The sequence below is a fragment of the Homo sapiens genome, chromosome 1, assembly GCF_000001405.40.
Source record: "Homo sapiens chromosome 1, GRCh38.p14 Primary Assembly".
NCBI lineage: Eukaryota > Metazoa > Chordata > Mammalia > Primates > Hominidae > Homo > Homo sapiens.
Window position 1 is genome coordinate 213439419 of NC_000001.11, and position 18410 is coordinate 213457828.

Here is an 18410-nt window from a genome sequence, read left to right on the forward strand (position 1 = left end):
CTTATTGGTAGAACTAAGAAGTATTTATTGGTGTGAGCACTGACTCCAGGTGGTTTAAGATAGCTAGCAAAGGCCTAATGTGTTGTTGTGGTTGGGTTTTGTGGAAACAGATACTGAGAGAGGTTGAAGTGCCAGATGTTTATTAAGGAGCAGCACCTGTGAAAGGAAGGGGCAGGAAGCAGGATTGAAAAGAGGGAAAATTTGAACTCAGATGCAGGCCTCACAATGACTCAGCAAGCTTGGCAAGGAAATGAGAACATGGGTATAAAATAGTTTCATTATTATGAACCCTTCTTAAAATGGTTCTTATTATCCTGTTATCACTTTTACTGTGTAATTATGGGGTGCAGTTGGGCCAGAATTATTTGTAAGAAGGTGTTGGTGAATCAATAAAAGACCAGTGAGAGAGGCAGAGATGGAGCAAGAGTGGGAGAGAGAGAGAGAGAAGGAGAGAGAGAGAGAGAGCGAAAAGATTAATGAGGCAAGTGATGCAATAATATGCCATTAAGCTATTGGTTAATGGCATTAATTTATTGAAAGGGGCTTCTACATCAGCCTATAGAAAGCAGTACCTATCTCCTGCCAATGGTACATAGCTACGGTTTTCTGTTGGTTTGATTATGACATGCCTTGCCTTGTTCATGAGACAATTACCTTCCATTGGAATGTTTTTTATTATGTGCATAATCAGATACATTGCACAGCAAGGGGGTGTGAAAAAATCTTTACTAGTTCCATTGTGAAGTCAAACGCTTTCCATCATCCTTCCCCAACTCCCTACGAGCTCAAAAATGCCAGCCGCAGCTGGCAAAAGCACTATAAAAACAAAAGTAGTTATTGAGCATCCTATATGTCAGGCTCAGGGCTAAGTCCAGAAGACTTGAAGACAAGTCACAACCAAATGATGTAAGAAAATTCACAAAGAAAGCAAGAAAATGAGGAGGTGGATGTGAAGACTTCTTTCTCTTTTCTCCTAGTTTGAGAACTTTGTAACTCACTTCTTTCTAGGCTTAAAAAGTTTTGGGGAAGTGCTAGGTTTGAACTGCAAAATGTTAATATAAACAAGTAACTCTCTTATGAATGCTATGATTAAATGACAGAATCATAAAGCTGTTTTTGTGCTCATTCCAATGACCTAGGGAAAAACAACTTTAGGTGTACATATTAATGGAACTAAAAAAAAAAAAAAAAAAAAAAGAACTCTATTATCCCATAACACCGGGTTCTTTGCACAAACCAAGTTCAAGCAAGAGGAGAAGCCTCATGGAAAAGGTGAGATTTGAGTTGGCCCTGTCAGAATGGGTAGGATAGTCTTCTTGTAGCATTTCTCATAGATGGTGAGTGTTTGTGGGTAATACTGATAATGGCTACATTTACCTAGATCTTACTACAGGTCTGCCCCTGTGCTGAGGGCTTCCCACCCATCACCCTAGTTAAGCCTCATAGCCATTGTGTGAGGTGGGTAAAATTAGCGTCCTTATTTATAGAGGGGAAGCCTTGAGAGCTCAGACTTGGAGCAGCCAGAGCAGACTGGATGCATGTGAAAACTGCTGAGGAACTTTGAAAAAACACTCATGTCTGGGCTCTCCCCCGTTCAAGTGGAAGCTAATCTGTAGAGGTCAGCTCCGGCCATTGAGCATACACAGCTCTTCGGGGGATTCTGATAAACAGGGAGGGTTAAGGAATTATCTCATATAGAGTAAATTCAGTGCTATACTTCACATAGGCCCCTTTAAACAGAATTTTAAATGTATCAGCAGTTGTACAGGAAAGTCTACGAAATTCTCCTTAGCCTAACACCCAGTTTAAAAACATCGCTGATATCCTTGGGGTTCCTCAACTTCATCTGTCTCTCTCTCTTTCTTTCTTCCTTCACCAGGGAGTCACTACCTTAAATTTTGAGTTTTTTATGTATTTCCTTAGTCTCTTTTAAAAACTGACTTCCTCTGTAACCACCATTATATTCTCTGCTCCTATGGGTTCAATTGTTTCAGGTTCCACATATAATTGAGAACATGTCGTATTTGTCTTTCTGTGCCTGGCTTATTTCACTCAGCATAACGTTTTCTAATGTCATTCACATTGTTGTAAGTGACAGAATTTCCTTCTTTTTAAAGACTGAATAGTATTCTTTTGGGTGTATATACCACATTTGCTTCATCCGTCTGTTGATGGACACTTAATTTGATTCCATAACTTGGTTATTGTACATAGTGCTGCGACAGACCTTGGGTGCAGACATCTCTTTGACAAATGGATCTCAGCAAAGGCTAAAGAGTGTGAGGAGTGGTGAGATGATGGTCAAAGGGAACCAAATCTCACACAAGAGGAATATGCAGTTTTTTTGAGTTCTATTGGATAGTGTGGTGAATATAGTTAATATCTGTTATAGAGTATTATACATTTTGAAATTGCTGAGTAATTTTCAAATGTTCTCAACACAAAAAGTGTTAAGTATTTGAGGTGATGGTTATGTTAACTAGCTTGATTTAATTATTGCACATTGTATTTACAAATTATAGCTTTACTTTGTACCCATAAATTTATACAGTTATAAACTTTCAATTTTCAATTTAAAAAGAGGCTAACTTCCCATCACTTCTGTGGGAGGAGAGACTTTGCCATGAGTAACAGTGGCTCTTTAAGATGTAATTTTGAATGTGTGTGTGGGGAGGTAGGCATGTTCCTTAAGGGAAGACATACCAGAATCTCTTGGAAAGGAACTTTGTCTAATTTGGAAAAGAAAGCCAGGCAATTCTGACACTACCCTGATTCCTACGAGTGCCTCTCCAATTATGGTATTTGTTCCTCTGCTCATTATCTATACCCTCTGCTCCCATAACACCACATAGCCCTTTTGAAGGCAGGGACTTTGTCCTATTCATCATTCTACCCCCTGTGCCCAGAACAGTGCCCACACTCAGTAGGTGTTCAACAGACATTTTTTGATGGAATGAAAGAATCACTGAACCATGAGCTTCTTAACAGTTGGGAGCTTTTAAAATAATATAGTCTAGCAGAAAGGTCAAGAACATGAATTTTAGGGGTAGAAAACTTGGGTTGGGATCCCAAACCTGCCACTTCTGATCTGTTACGTGTCTTGGACAGAGCTACTCAACTATTCTAAACCTTAGTTTCCTCATCTGTAAAGTGGAAGCTGCTCCTGAATTGTATTGTGGAGAGGATTAACTACTACAATGTACATATGTGTTAAGTGTACTAAATGATAACAATGTATGTGAAATTTGTTTTGCCATGGTGGTTGGCAGGTACCCAGTGCTCCTATTAGCATTAGCTATGGTGGTGGACTTCCATGGGGTTGTTTCTGTACACATCTCTTTTCTCGGGAACTGCTCTCTCAATAGCCAAATGGCTCCCCTGGGGACGCTGTGTTCCTACATGGCCTTGTCCCATGGCCACATGTAGCTGTTTCCTTCCAGGCACTTGATCCATCTGGGATGAATCAAATTGCTGCCCTCTGGCCACAGTTCAGGAGTGGGCACCCAAAACCTACTGGACCACTGGACTCCTTTCTCAGGGTTTTTTTTTTTTTTAGGACTTGCAACAAGAGCATTGGGGTGTCTCTTTATCCTCCTGGTAGCTGACACTATTAGATGCAGAATTTGAGAACTGTTGGCGGCGATGTTTCTCACTAGTAAGAATTAAGCCAATATTCTGATAGAAGTGGAGGTTGGAAATGGAAGCAATTTGGCAGAGTAGGAGTCCTGTACTAGGCTTACCTGAGATCCAGCTACTTTTCTACCTTTTCTAGGCTATGACGATGGCAGAGCCAGCCCATACGGTGCCATTGTTTAAGTTGAGGAAGTCTTTATTTCTCAACATGATTCACTTTTACCTGTCAGAAAATTGTCATATCACTTGAATATTGTTGGGACAAGACACCTGTCATCTAAAAATTTGTTATAGTCCATATACAAATCTGTGATGTCCGTGATGTTCACATGCCCCTTTGTAGGGTTGTACAGTGTACAACCTGCACAACTCATCACAGTGGTGCTATCTATTGGACAAACTCCTTGGCCTTTTGGATTTCTGTACATTTTAGCCAGGGGTCCTAATTAATAGTTCAAAGACCATGTATTTTGTCTATATGGAAACGTGCTGGGCTGGGTTCTTGGGCATTCCTTTCCTGTGACTGGGAGACTGGCTGGGGGTAGCTGTCAGGTGGAGGTGAGCTGTCGGAAGTTTTGTTGTGGCCAGGTGTGGTGACTCATGCCTGTAATCATAGCACTTTGGGAGCGTGAGGTGGGCAGATTGCTTGAGCCTAGGAGTTTGCAACCAGCCTGGGCAACATGGCGAAACCCCGTCTCTACTAAAAATATAAAAAAATTAGCTAGGTGTGGTGGTGCATGCCTATAGTCCCAGCTACTGGGGAGGCTGAGGTGGGAGGATCACCTGAAAGCTGCAGTGAGATCGCGCCACTGCACTTGAGCCTGGGCAATCAGAATGAGACCCTGTCTCAAAAAAAAAGAGAAGTTTTTGGTGCTTTCCCTTTGTCTTTTGAGCTGCCATAACAAAGTATCACAAACGAGTGGCTTAAGCCACAGAAGTTTATTGTCTTTCAGTTCTGGATGCTAGAAGTCCAAGATCAAGGAGCCAGCAGGGTGGTTCCTTCTGAGGGCTGTGAGGGAGAATCTTTTCATGCCTCTCTCCTAGTTTCTGGTGGCTTGCTGGCAATCTTTAGCATTCCTTGGCTTGTGGCATCATAATTCCAATCTTTATGTGGCATTCTCTCTCTGTGCATGTCTGTTGGTGTCCAAATTTCCCCTTTTCATAAGGACACCAGTCATAGTGGATTAGAACCACCCTGATGGCTTCATCTTACTTGATTACCTCTGTCACGTTCACTCGTGCTAGGGGTTAGGATTCCAGCATGTTTGTGGCAGGTGGGGGGCGGGCACAGTTCAACTCATCACACTCTCTTTGGGATGTTCCTTCTCTGATGTGGGGTAGAGCGGCCCCAGTTAAGCTGGTTTCTATATGACTGTTCCCTGGGCTAAACTGGAGTCTCCTCCATGTGAGCTGCATTTCAGAACTGCATATGCCTCAGGTGCAAAAGCTTTAGCAATAATGTCTCTTTGTTTTCGTTATGAGTATCAATCATATGGGTGAGATTTTAAAAATGAGGTTGGTCAGGCTGGTACCCTGTCTCTACTAAAAATACAAAATTAGCTGGGCGTGGTGGTGTGCACCTGTAATTCCAGCTACTTGGGAGGCTGAGGCAGGAGAATCACCTGAACCTGGGAGCGAGCTGATATCGTGCCATTGCACTCCAGCCTGGGCAACAAGAGTGAAACTCCAACTCAAAAAAAAAAAAAAAAAAGGAAAGAAAAGAAAAAAGAACAGAAAAAAATGAAGTTGGTGGACTGTGGGCTCACTCACATACCTATTTCTTTTTAAACTGCTTTATTAAGATATAATTCACATACCATAAAATTCACCCATTTACAGGGCACAATTCAATGACTTTTCGTTTATTCACAGTTATGCATCCATCACCATAATCCATTTGAGAACATTTTCATTACCTCAAAAAGAAACCCCATGCCACTTAGCCATCATCCCCAATATCCCTATCTTCTTTTCCTGCAGCCTTTAGCAAATCACCAATCTGCTTTGACTCTATATGTTTGCCCGTTCTGGAGAATTCATATCATACAACATGTGGCTTTTTGTATCTGGCTTGTTCGACTTAGCATAATGTTTTCAGGGTTCATTCATGTTGTCTCATGCATCAGCACTTCATTCTTTTTATGGCTGAATAACGTTATATTCTATGGACATATCATGTTTTATTTCTCCGTTCATCAGTTAGTGGATGTTAAGGTTGTTTCTAATGCTTCTGCGAACATTTCATGTACAAGTCTTTATGTAGACATATATTTTCATTTCTCTTGGGTATATACCTAGGAGTGGAGTTGCTGGGTTGTATGGTGACTTTATTTTTAAGAACCAGAATCCTCATCAATACTCCCAAAGCTGATCATTCCAAATCTACCCAATACTGTGTATGTTTTTCTTTACAGAAGTGACATTCTCACCTTATTTATCTTTTCAGTGGCTGGGGAAAGCAGTCCAGGGAGAAACTGATGAAATTCAGGAAGTCTAAGCAGGAGGGAAGGGCAGGGGACTTAGAGTGCAGGAAGCACACAGCAGGGTCAAGCTGGCTGCATCTCTGGAGGGACAGATGCGAGAGAGGAGGAACAGACTAGCCTGTGCTTTACTGGGAAAACAAAACACAACAAAACAGGAATCTGAAGTAGCCGAGGAAGCCACACCCTCGTTATTGTGGCCCACACTTTCGCCTGGGAAATGGGGACTGGAGCACAACAGAAGGCAGAATTTTGCTGCAGGCTGACTGCTAAGTGGCCGGTTTCTGGCTGCAAGTACCAGGTACCCCTCGCATTCATGGTGCACAAAGCCGTCTCAAGGCTTTCCTAATGGGAGGTGTTATCTCCATTCTATAGACTGAGAAGCCCTGTGCACCGAGGAAGCTGGGCCTTCCACCCCCATGCCTCCTCCCACCCTTGGTGGGCACAGGGTGAGTCGGTGGTGGCACGAATGCAGTCCAGGTCTTCTGCTTCCAAACCCGAGCTTTATCTCCCAGACCATGCTGCCTCTTGGAGCCTTCTGGAGAGGATCGTGCTGTTGAAATGAGTATTGGTCCAAACTTTGGAGTCTGGGCTTCAAGGGCCTGCATGACTTTCCACTCCAGCTTCCAGCCACCATCATTCCTCATGTCTTCCCCACGAGGGTGTCCAGTGCTGCAAAGGGAACCTGCAAAAAATGACTTGCTTGCTTTCGTACATCCAGGCAAGCCTTTGCCCACACCCCAGATTTCTCTTTTCTATCCATTTTATTTAATTCCTCCTGGAGTTATTCAAATAAAAGTATGTGGACCCTGGATGATACATGGGATTTGACTGATTTATTTTTAAGGGATTGGCTCATGCAATGGTGGGAGCTGGCAAGACCAAAATCTACAGGGCAAGCCAGCTAGAATCTCAGGCAGGAGTTGATGCTGCAGTCTTTAAGGTAGAATTTCTTCTCTGTGATGCCTCAGTTTTTCTCTTAAGGCTTTCAAGGATTAGATGAGGCCCATCTTCATCATTGAGAGTAATCTTTACTTAAAGTCAGCTGATAGTAGATGTAAACCATAGCCACAAAACGCCTTCCCACCAATACCTAGATGAGTGTTTGATTTTCCTATAGCCTCGCCAAGTTGACACCTAAGCCTGACCGTCACACTCTGTCATAGGAGAGTTATGAGGATGAAGTCAGATACTGTGCAGTAGCTGGCACATGGTAAGCACTGATTCGTTATTACTACTGCTATGATTTTAATTTTTGTCTTGCTTTTTGGTCTGCTACTGATTCAACAAAAGCCCTGTGCTTCTTTCCTAGGTATTTGCCACTCGGATACATCACATCTAAGGGGATGTTTGTTTGCTATGAAAGCAGAATTTAAACTATGCAAACACAGTAGTAGTAGGCTCCTGGAGGGCAAGCAGTGATTTATACATAGCTCAGAATAAATGCTCAATATATATCAAGAAATGAATGCATAAGTGAAAAGAAAGTCCTTTGAAGCATGGCTTAGGTCAGTGCTGCCCAATACACATATGATGCCAGTATTTTTTTTTTTTTTGACAGAGTCTCACTCTGTTGCCCAAGCTGGAGTGCAGTAGCACAATCACAGCTCACTGCAGCCTGGAACTCCTCAGCTCAAGCGATCCTCCTACCTCAGCCTCATAAGTAGGTGGGACAACAGGCACTGCCACCACATTTGGCTAATTTTGAAATTTTTTGTAGAGATGGGGATTTTTCCTTGTTACTCAGGCTGGTCTCAAACTTCTGGCCTCAAGCGATCCTCACACCTTGGCCTCCTCATACCCCAGCCTCCCAAAGTGCTGAGATTACAGGTGTAAGCTACTGCATCTGGCCTATAATGCCAGTTTCATATGTAACTTAAAACTTTCTAGTAGCATATTAAAAAAAGAAACAGATAACAATACCCAAAATATTGTTTCAACATGTAATCAATATAAATATTTTTAAGCGGACATTTTACATGATTTTCCCAGCACATGTGTTATACTCATGGCATATCACCATTTGGACTGGCCACATTTCAAATCCTCCATAACTACATATGGCTGGTGGCTACTGTATTGGATGACATGGGTTTAGCTGAATGTTTCTTCAAGTCTATTTCTCAAAGAATTGCATCCTAATCAATGCGGCTCAGGTAGGGTGGGCCCTACTTTAGGACAATCTCTGAATGATTCCCAGACTTATGCCTTCTTGTTCCTGGGTGGTTTATAACCAATCCTCAGGAAGATAAAATAGAAATTAAAAGTTAGCATTTAGAAAGTTATATAACAATTGGCAGAGTAATTTTACATTCTTTGAATCTAACAGTTGAAAAAAATCAGGAACTATATTACGTGTTTTTTTATAATTTAATTTTTTGATAAATGCATTTGTATTGTATTTTTGAAATTATCCATGCTGGGCATGGGGGCTCATGCCTGTAATCCCAACACTTTGGGAAGCTGAGGCAGGAGGAGGATTGCTTGAGGCCAGGAGTTTGAGACCTGCCTGGGAATATAGTGAGACTCCCATCTCTACAAAAGAAAAATAAAAAAATTGGCTAGGTGTGGTGGAATGTGCGTGTAGTCCCAGCCACTTGGGAGGCTAAGGTGGGAGGATTGCTCCAGCCCAGAGGCTCAGTGAGCTATGATCACACCATTGCACTCCAGCCTGGGTGACAGAGTGAGACTGTCAAAAAAAAAAAAAAAAAAAAAAGGAAAAAGAAAAAAAAGAAACTATTTGTGGTGGAATGAAAATAAATAAAAACTGGCCTTTCATCAGAGGCAGTCTGAGCAACAGTTCTAGATGACGGATGGAAGCAGAGTCTCTGGGGTGGGTGTTGGGAATCTGTGTGTTTTTCGAAACCCCCGGATGATTCTTAGGCACATGCAAGTTTGAGCCTTCTGCAATTAGACCCAAACCCCCAAGAAATATAGACCTCATTTTATTTTCCCTCAAATTACTGTGTCCAGAAACAGAGCCTCAAGCCTGGGCGGGTCTTCGTAACAAGGGCAGCTCTGCTGACTTCAAAGACCTGGTCCCAGCGCCGGTGGGGAGCCCTGTGCCACCCGACATCCACGCAAGCCAGAGCATGAGTCTCACACAGTCCCGCTTCTTCTTGAGACCCTGTGTGAAGCCTCTAGGAGAGTGAGATTTTCAAGGTTTTCTCTGATCCCTCACACAGAGAATAAGACTTTTCAATCTCCATCTCTTGGAGCAGACAGGCAATCTGTTACAAAAAAAAAAAAAAAAGGAAAAAAATCTCTGGAGCTAAAGGAACTCTATTTTTTCTTGTCCTTGCTCAAAGCTTTTATAGAACATCTTGAGCTTTCAAAGGCAGTGCGTGTATTGATTTTCTGTCCCTGACCCCCAGGGTTCATTGCTGCTGTGTTTTGGGCTAAGGCTCCCTATAGAAATCCCAGTGGCCTCAACTCGGGAAGTCTTGGTGATTGGATGATATCGGAAGCAGTTTCCTTATATAAACCATCACAGATGTCCTTTGTAATTTGTCACCTTCTCTCTCTGTGAGGCTTTCCTCACAGGATCTTTGCTGTGTGGCTTGAAACTTTTAAATCAGCCTTCAGGCCAGAATTTCTGCAGGGAAATGGAGGCCTTTGCCTCTGCTGTGCCGTGGTGGAGTTGTTTGAGGTTCTTCCAGTGGAGTCGTTTTAGGCTCTGGGACCCGCCCCACCAAGCCCCAGTACCCACTTAGAGATTGATTTAGTCTATTTCCACAAAATTTCAATATGCTATTGTGTTAATCTGCGAGGGCTGCCACAGCGAAAGACCACAGACTGGGTGGCTTAAACAACTGACATTTATTTTCTCACAATTCTAGAGGCTAGAAGTCCAAGATCAATGTGTTGGCAGGCTTGGGTTCCCCCGAGGCCTCTCTCTGTGGCTTGCAGAGGCTCCTGTGTCCTCATGCGGCCTTCCTTTTCTCTCTCTGTGTGCTCCTAGTGTCTCTGCCTCTTCTTAGAAGGACACCAGTCCCATGGGATTAAGGTCCCACCCTTATGCCCTCATTCAACCTTAATTACCTCTTTAACGGCCATATCTCCAAATATAGTCTCTGGGGCTTAGGACTCCAACATATGAATTTTTGCAGGACACAATTCAGTCTATAACAACCACTAAGATGGTTTCTGCTTATTGCTCCACTTTCTCTGCATTCTGTGTTTCTGACGGCTCTGTCTCCTGCCTCTACCATCAATGTTTGCTTTGTGTACCGTCTCTTTCTGGAGGAGGACAGCCTTCATAGCTGTGTTCCCTTCCACCCGTGGTGACGTTGCTGGCTTTCAGAAGAGTGTTTTGTGGGCAACAATAATTCTTATTAGAGATTGCTCTTCACCTCCTATTCTTCAGAAATTATTCCAGGCTTTATGTAAAACCTGATTTTTGTGCACGCAACACCCATTTCCCCACTCTTCTCTCCTATGGAGACCTGCTTTCCCCTCCATTGCCCCAGATTCAGCAGGAGAACAGGAACTAGTTGCCTTCATGTTTGCAACTGCTTAACCTCTCTGTGACTCGGCTTCCACTTTGCAAAATGGAGATGATAGTACCTGCCTTATGAGGTGGTTGCCAGGATTAACTGAGAACCTACTTGAAGAAGGTTAGGTACATAGGACAGCACCTGGTATGTAGAAAGAACTCAATATGTGTTCATTATTACTGTGGTCAACTTTTTTTTCTTCCCCAGCAATCAACTAGTCCCTAGTAAGTGATCCCTGGCTTGCGATTGTATTTTCTCAAAGCCAGCAGGTTTCATCAAAGACTAGCAATAAGCTGAGTTTGTAGATTTTTTTTTTTTTTTTTGGATAACCATATTAAATTACTTTCCTAATTTACCCGCAAATTAGCACCATTGGGTGGAATGAAAACTCTAATTCAGGAAAATCTTTGAACTAATCCAAGTGGAATGCTCTTACTCTTAGCTGCACCAACCTCACCCTTTCTTGTGTGGGTGCCTGTGGTGGCTTGTCCTCCTCCTCTCTCCACTTGTCTAAAGCTGACCCATCTTGAGAGACCAATCAAGGTTCCTCTTAGAGTAAGTGCTGTGGAGTTTTGTCCTTTGTCTCCTGGAGTCAGGAGTTAAATTTTATCCTTATTTTGTGGAACTCATAGAACTTATCTCTGGGCTGAGCACATAGCAAGTGCTTCAGAAATATTTGTTGTCATGACTGCAATCCCAGCACTTTGGGAGGCCGAGGCAGGTGGATCACCTGAGGTCAGGAGTTCGAGACCAGCCTGGCCAACATGGTGAAACTCCGTCTCTACTAAAAATACAAAATTAGCCGGGCATGCTGGTGCGTGCCTGTAATTCCAGCTACTGGTGAGGCTGAGGCAGGAGAATTGCTTGACCCCGGGAGGCGGATGTTGCAGTGAGCTGAGTTCGTGCCATTGCACTCCAGCCTGGGTGACAGAGGAGACTCTGTTTCAAAAAAAAAAGAAAGAAATATTTGTTGGTTAACTGGCTGTTGATCACAACCATCAGATTATCTTGGGTAAGTTTATTGGAAAAAATACTTAGTTCACATCGAAAAGAGCACTCACCCGTGGGTCAAATCTAACCCCCCATTCTGATTCTTCTAATGGGATGATAGCCCACTGAATTCAGAATCCGTAAGGGAGGAGAAAACAGTTGTCACATTTCTACATTTCTCACTAATTCAGTATTATAACTAAATATAGTGTTATTTAATGTTCTGAAATAGGTCAATTTTAGAGTCATTTTAAGGAAACCTATGCATTGAAGCTTTAGTATTTTATGTGGGTCACCTGGATTCTCAGTGAATATGAGAAAATGAACCAAATAGGTTTTAAGCAAAGATTCCTGGTAGATTTTACTTCCTTGGTGTCTTCAAGCTCAACTTATTCCAGGCCTGAAGGACATGGTTTAGTTCATCCGTGCAGTTGACAGAAGATTGCATGGAACAGGGATTCCCCTTTCTCCTCTGTTTCTTTTCACAGCAGCTGACTTCAGCTGCCTTGTTGTCTCCTAGGCTCCCACACAGTGGGTGTGGGGGAGGTCGCGTGGCTCCTGAGTCTGCACTGACTTTAAGGCCTGTTTTTCTAGGGTGTTGGGAATGCATTCTACCATCTCCATGAGGCTAAGCTCCTATCGGCAACATGAAGACTAGTTGATCTCGAAAGTACTTTCCATTCCCATTAGCTTGTGATGTTGGAAGACACAAGATCAGCTTTCCTGGAGTTTCTCTCTAACGTGAACCATGTAAACCTGAGCTGGGGCAAGAACCCAGGCCTGGAACTGCCTTGAAGGCTAAAAGGTGAAGGTCAGGGGAGTCCCGGATGGAAGGCTCGCCTTCACTCACACCATCTCCAGGAATTCCCCCCTCCAGTAGCCTGGTGCTCCAGCCTGGGTGGCGTCAGCTGCTATTCCAGGAGAAGGCGAGACTTCCAGATGAACAAGTCTCTTTAAAAACACTGGGGCTGACGGTGTGATAGCCCACTCAAGAGCCAACAGAACAGCTGCAAAATATGATAAAAATCATTTGAAAAGTTCATTGATTTTTCAGTAAAACTGCAAATCCTTCACTTTATAATAATTGTTCCCTCACACTTTTGAATCTTGTTCTTGAGCTACAAGGGCGTTTAGGTCAGGCTGCATTCAGCAAACGGGCCTGGGAAGACAATGGCCCATGGCTGAAGAGACACTTTAATCATGAGCTAATTTACAAACCAAAGCAAAACAGACTCGGGCTTTGTCTAAGATTATTAGAAGATGTTAATTCTGTGCTTAAATTATTTCTCTCACTCCTCTCTCTGAGCTCATAACTAGGAAAAAAAAAAAAAAGGAACATCAACCCTATCTCGCCCTCCCCCACTTCTTATCTTCCTAATTAAATTTTGTGACTTGGCATCCACGGGTGGGTGGGTTACTTTTTTCCCTTTCTTCTTTTCTCTCTGAGGACAATGTACTTGTTATTCAAATTCTTATTGCTTCTTGGTGTGAGCTTCTAGCACCTAGATAAAATGGCTGTTAAGTCTTTCCTCCCCACATTTTCTCTAGGTCCAGAGAAATAATGAAAGAACTTGGTACAGAATTAGTTTCTCATGGACCTGCAATACAGCACATCCCAGAGACCAGCAGAGGCTGTGGCCAGCACTGTCCACTGCCCCGCCTCCGCAGCACAGAGACCTCCTCAGTAGCAGGCTCAGCCCTGTCCTGTGCTGCTGGCTCCACCCTCCTCCCAGGCTGGCGGGATCCCACAGCCAGGATATAAAAGTACACGAGCAAACAAACCCCAAACTGGACTAACTCTCAATTATCTGCATGAGTGAGGGCTAATCCAATATTCATTTCTACTTGGCTTTGGAATGCCTTGTATGATTTGTACAGGACAGATTTACCTGGCTGGTTCCGCTTTGCTTGGGTGAATAGTGTTAGCATTTCCAATCTGTCCATGGATTACTAGTGAGGATAGCACCCTGCTAACATGCTGGTGTGGAAGGGAAATCAATTTGGGAAGGAGCATCTGACAAAGGTAATCCACGTATGGTATCACTGAGCTGGCTGCCCTCCCATCATTTCATCTCGTGGCCATTTCTCCTTGTTATTCTCATCCACTGAAAGCATCTGGGTATACTTCGGTATCTTGACACATTTCTACTCCTGGACGGTAAGGAGAGGCAATTTACCAACTGATTCATTTATTCAATAAATAGTTATTGAATATCTTCTATACATCAGGCACTATGCTAGGGACTGGGGAAACAACTCTGAAGTCATCATGGAGCCGATGGAGCTTACACACATATGAGAAAGATAATCATGCCCACAGACACTTATGAGTGTGGTAGGAGTTGTGGTGGGAGAGGAGCAGGCTGTTCCAGGATCACCTTGTGGGGCCACCAAATGGAGACTTCTTGGGGGCACAGGAGAGACTTTTAAGGAGAGGAGAAATCTCACCTGAGACCTGAAAAACAGGTGAGAGTTGTTCAGGAGATTTGGAGGGAGGGTATTCTAGGCAGGGAGAGTACCTTCTGCTAAGGGCCAGGACAGGTGAGTACAAGAATAGTGAGCCAGAGACCGTGAAAAGCAATTAGTGTGGTTGGAGCTCAGTCAGAGGCCGGAGGTTCAGGAGCTCAGGAAGGGTCTTGTAGAAATGGTAAGCACTTTGGGGTAACAGTAAAAAGTTGAAAGTCGCTGAACAAGTCAGTGCCTTTGGTTTTACAGGTAAGTAACTGAAGGACTGAGAATGGGAAGAAACCATAGAAGTTTGCCTAAGCAGTTGGTGGTAAAGCTGGGACTAAATCCAAATATAGTTGGCCCTTGAACAACACAGGTCCAGGTCTGAACTGTGGCAGGTCCGCTTATACATGGATATTTTTCAAAAAATACATTGGAAAATTTTTTGGAGATTTGCAACAAGTTGAAAAACTTGCGGACAAACCATGTAGCCTAAAAATATTGAAAAAGCTTTGTCAAATAATAAAAAGGTTTGTCATGAATGCATAAAATGTATGTAGATAATAGTCTATGTGTTAATCCACTATGTTATTGGTATGGCTTCTGGACAACAGTAGGCTATGAGTAATTACGTTTTGGGGGAGTCAAAAGTTTATTAATATATGCAGATTTTTGACCACATGGGGGGGGTCAGCATTCCTAATTTCTGTGTTCAAGGGTCAACTCTATCTTAGAGTCCTTCTGCCACAGCTGCTTACAAAGACCATGCTCTTTGAACAAACAAGGACACGTGAAATTTATTAATATGAATATTCTTAATATCAATCTGACACCCCTTCAAGGGCTATTTTAAAAACATTTAATACTTATTTTTAGAGGATAAGGAGAAACTGGTTTTCTATTAATAAAATTGCACATTTTTCTTTGTGTTCAAAATAAGGGAGTTAACCTCATGCAATGTAACAATGTAACATATTTGGATTAATGTTCTTTTTCTGTCTAAACTTATACCTGGAAGGTGTTGGGCACACACAGGTGTAATTCACAAAAATGTGGCTAGACAATCTTGATAAATATATTTTTAAAATTTTTCTTTTCCCTGGCATGTCTGTAGACAAAAAGTATTCTGAATTTTCTAATTCTTTTCCTTTTTTGGTGTGTGTGTGTATGTGTGATTTTTCTGAAAGAAGCAACTTATAGGGAGGCTTAATAAAGGCCTTCAGATTTAGATAAACCCAAACCACTTGCTTCCTAATCAGAACTGCACCTGAATAACTCAGTGTCCAAATTCCAGCTGATCGAGATGGGTGCCTTTAGAGGCGTGCCCTCTGGCTGGTGTTGTCTCTTAGCCTTGCACTAAGCAAATCACACTGTGACTATTAAAAATACACGGCAGAGCTAGGTCAACTCTGGCGGGGACCCATCTGCTTTTGCCAGACTGGGACCAGTTTATCCTTTGTCAAGGAACCTGAGTTAACTGGTAACACTTGTTTGATCTACTTTAGCAGTGCCTCGGAGTGCTTTTCAACAGGTGCCTCAGGGAGCGTCCAGGCCACGAGGACCTAGTTAATCTGGTTCTGTCTGACTCCCATGTGGACATTGAGGGGAGAAAGGCAAATTTGATTCCTCCCAGAACCTTAAGAATTTTGGAGCAACTCAGAGTGATAGAGAAAAGGATGGAGGTGACAGAAAAGCTCTTTAATTAGAACTTCAAAGGAAATTGAGTGCTGGCTGTCCTACATCTGTTTCCCTGCAAGGAGGTGGAGGGAGAGTGTTGGTGATTCCAATGAGGAATGGCGGTGGATCGTAACCAGGAAATTCATAGTGGAAATAGGATAAGTCAATTTAAGAACATTAAAAAGTGGACTTGACAGAACTTGGTGACTGGATTTGAAGAAGGAAGGAAATGTCAGGACAGTGCCTACATTTCTTGTTTGAGCAACTTGGTGGATGCTGATGCTAGACCAAAGTGGGAAACAAAAGGTGGCTAGATGTAGGGGACAGGTACTGAGTTCTGTCTGGACAAAGGGAATTTCAGGTCTATCCTAAGTGAGATGTCAAATAAGCAGTTGAGTGGATGAGGTTCTAGCACGGGAGCTGTGGCCAGGTGAGAAATATAAAATTGAGATGTCCTTCTCATATAGAAGGTGAAGGAAGTCTTGGAATGAGATTATGCAGAGAGAGTATAGATTAAGTGGAATGAAGGGCCCATGACAGAACCTTGATTAATACCAGTTTTAAAGGAGGAAGCCATGGAATATAAGCTACAGAGGAGATTAAGGAGACAGAAACTGACCAACAGTAAGAAGCAATTCTGAATTTTTGTCTCATTGCCTTTTGTTTTTATTGATAATTTTATTTTTACCAAGAAATATTGCAGATATTTGAAAAGGTGTAGACCAGAAAATTATGACAGACATCCATGACACTCCACTGCTTGAACATAGCCGAAGGCCCCCAGGAGCCCCTTCCTCACCACTCTCCCCACCTTACCCGTGGGGTAACCTCTTTTATAATTCCAGTGCTTCTCTTTAGATTTTCATGGCCCCTCATGCCCTTACAACTGCTACACCTGCTTCGGTGAACCCAGCCTGTGCCATCAGAGACCCATAGCCAATGAGGAGCGAGGCTTTGTGTATCACAGATGCCTCATTCCTATCGGCACATGGGGTCAGGGATTAGTTTTGTGCTCAAAACTTGCCACGGAGTGTGCGTCCCGTGCAGCATGTCTTCTTGTTGGGCTGCTGCCTTAGTCTCCTTTGGTCTGGAGGCCTGGCTTCCTGTCTAGTTGAAGAGGTTGAACCCTAGGTCCTTGTATTAATATATATTTTTATATATTCATATATACTTTAATACAACAGACTCTTGACATACACAAAAGATAGTCTGACCAGCCCCTGGCTGTGTCCTGCTTCATGCTGGATAAACCTTCCAGGAGGCATAAGAATGCTACCTGTTTGGCAACTGGATGTTTTTGATTCTGATGTCTGTCCTGAACGTATCTTCATTTGTCGCCTTTCTTCAGGTATTCTAATTCTGACTGCTGGTCTTCCTAACTTAGGCCCACTTATACCCTACTCTTATCTGCCACATGAAGGTCCCAGTAAGGCTCATGTCCTAGCTGGGTGGATTGAGGAGTATTAAACCTATTAATTTATACCCTTTCATGATTTACAGATATACAGTGGGGCAATGGGTAATTTCTTTTAATTTGCCTATTAAAATGTTCTATAAAGCAGTTGCTATTCCATAAACAATCACTTAAATAGACCATAATAATGCACCTTAAAAATCATGCAATAATTCCATTTTTAATAACTCCCCTTTGTAACACTGAAACGTGCCTTTCCTTCTCTACCTACCCCTTGTCCCACAACTGATCTGTTCTGTTAAGTACAGAATTTTGTATGTAGTTTCTTAATGTGGCTATGAATCTCTTTTTTTAGCCCAAGGAAGCTTGTCAATATTTTTGGGGGGTTTCATATTTCATTTCTAACTCCTTTTGAAATGGCAGAAGTTTCTAAATATCCTAAGAATAATCTGGGCTAGGACTCAAGAAGGACTTCCTGACACAGAAAGGTTGTAGAATGTTTCGTTTAAAATAATATAATAGTAATAGTTTTAAAAGGGGAGGGGAGAGGTCACCCTATATCTGTGAGGGCTGGAGGGAAGAGTTAAATGACTTCTGAAGGTCTGATTCAGCCCTAAGATTCTTTGATGTGATTGTTCTGTTCTTTCCAGCTGTCTGTCTTTGATCCAAGCTTTGCCTGCTGGAGCTGAGCTCCAAGTGAGAAACTTCCAGCTCCACGCCATCCTCGGCAACCCAGGACCTTGAGCCAGCTGGCTGACCGTGCTCTCTGGGGATTCCATGCCAGGGCTGATTGGCTCCTCTGATTTGCTTTGACTGTTTGACTTCCAGGGAAGGCCTATGGCAGGTGAAGCTGATGAACCCCTTCCAGGGATCTTCTGCCTGCATTAGTTAACTCATTAGGGACTTTCCGGGCATCCTCTCACTGAGCAGGGACACTGCCTTTTACCTTGTCCCTTTCACACTCACTGGTTATGCATGGTTGACTGGGCAACCCACTTCTGCAACTGACCATCTAGTTCAACTACCAGAGCTCAGGTTGATTTCCAAGTCCTAGGTATGGTTCAAGTTAAGTAGAAGCCTGTTTAATTCCTTTTTGAGTACAAAGTGATCCAGCAAGTGGTGTATTCTAGATACAGTAATAACTTAATTGGCAACAGAATGGTTTAAATAATGTCTTTTGCAAGGAACAATTGGATCAATAACTTAATTGCTGGGTTCATACATATATAAATGCAACAGACTCTTGACATACACAAAAGACACAGTCTGAGA

General features: G+C 42.8%; 1 protein-coding gene across 1 annotated transcript in view; it reads left to right on the forward strand.

Moving 5' to 3' along the window:
• RPS6KC1 (ribosomal protein S6 kinase C1) overlaps positions 1–18410 on the forward strand; it is an 811495-nt gene that overhangs the window by 388178 nt on the left and 404907 nt on the right. The gene's annotated exons all lie outside the window — the stretch shown is intronic.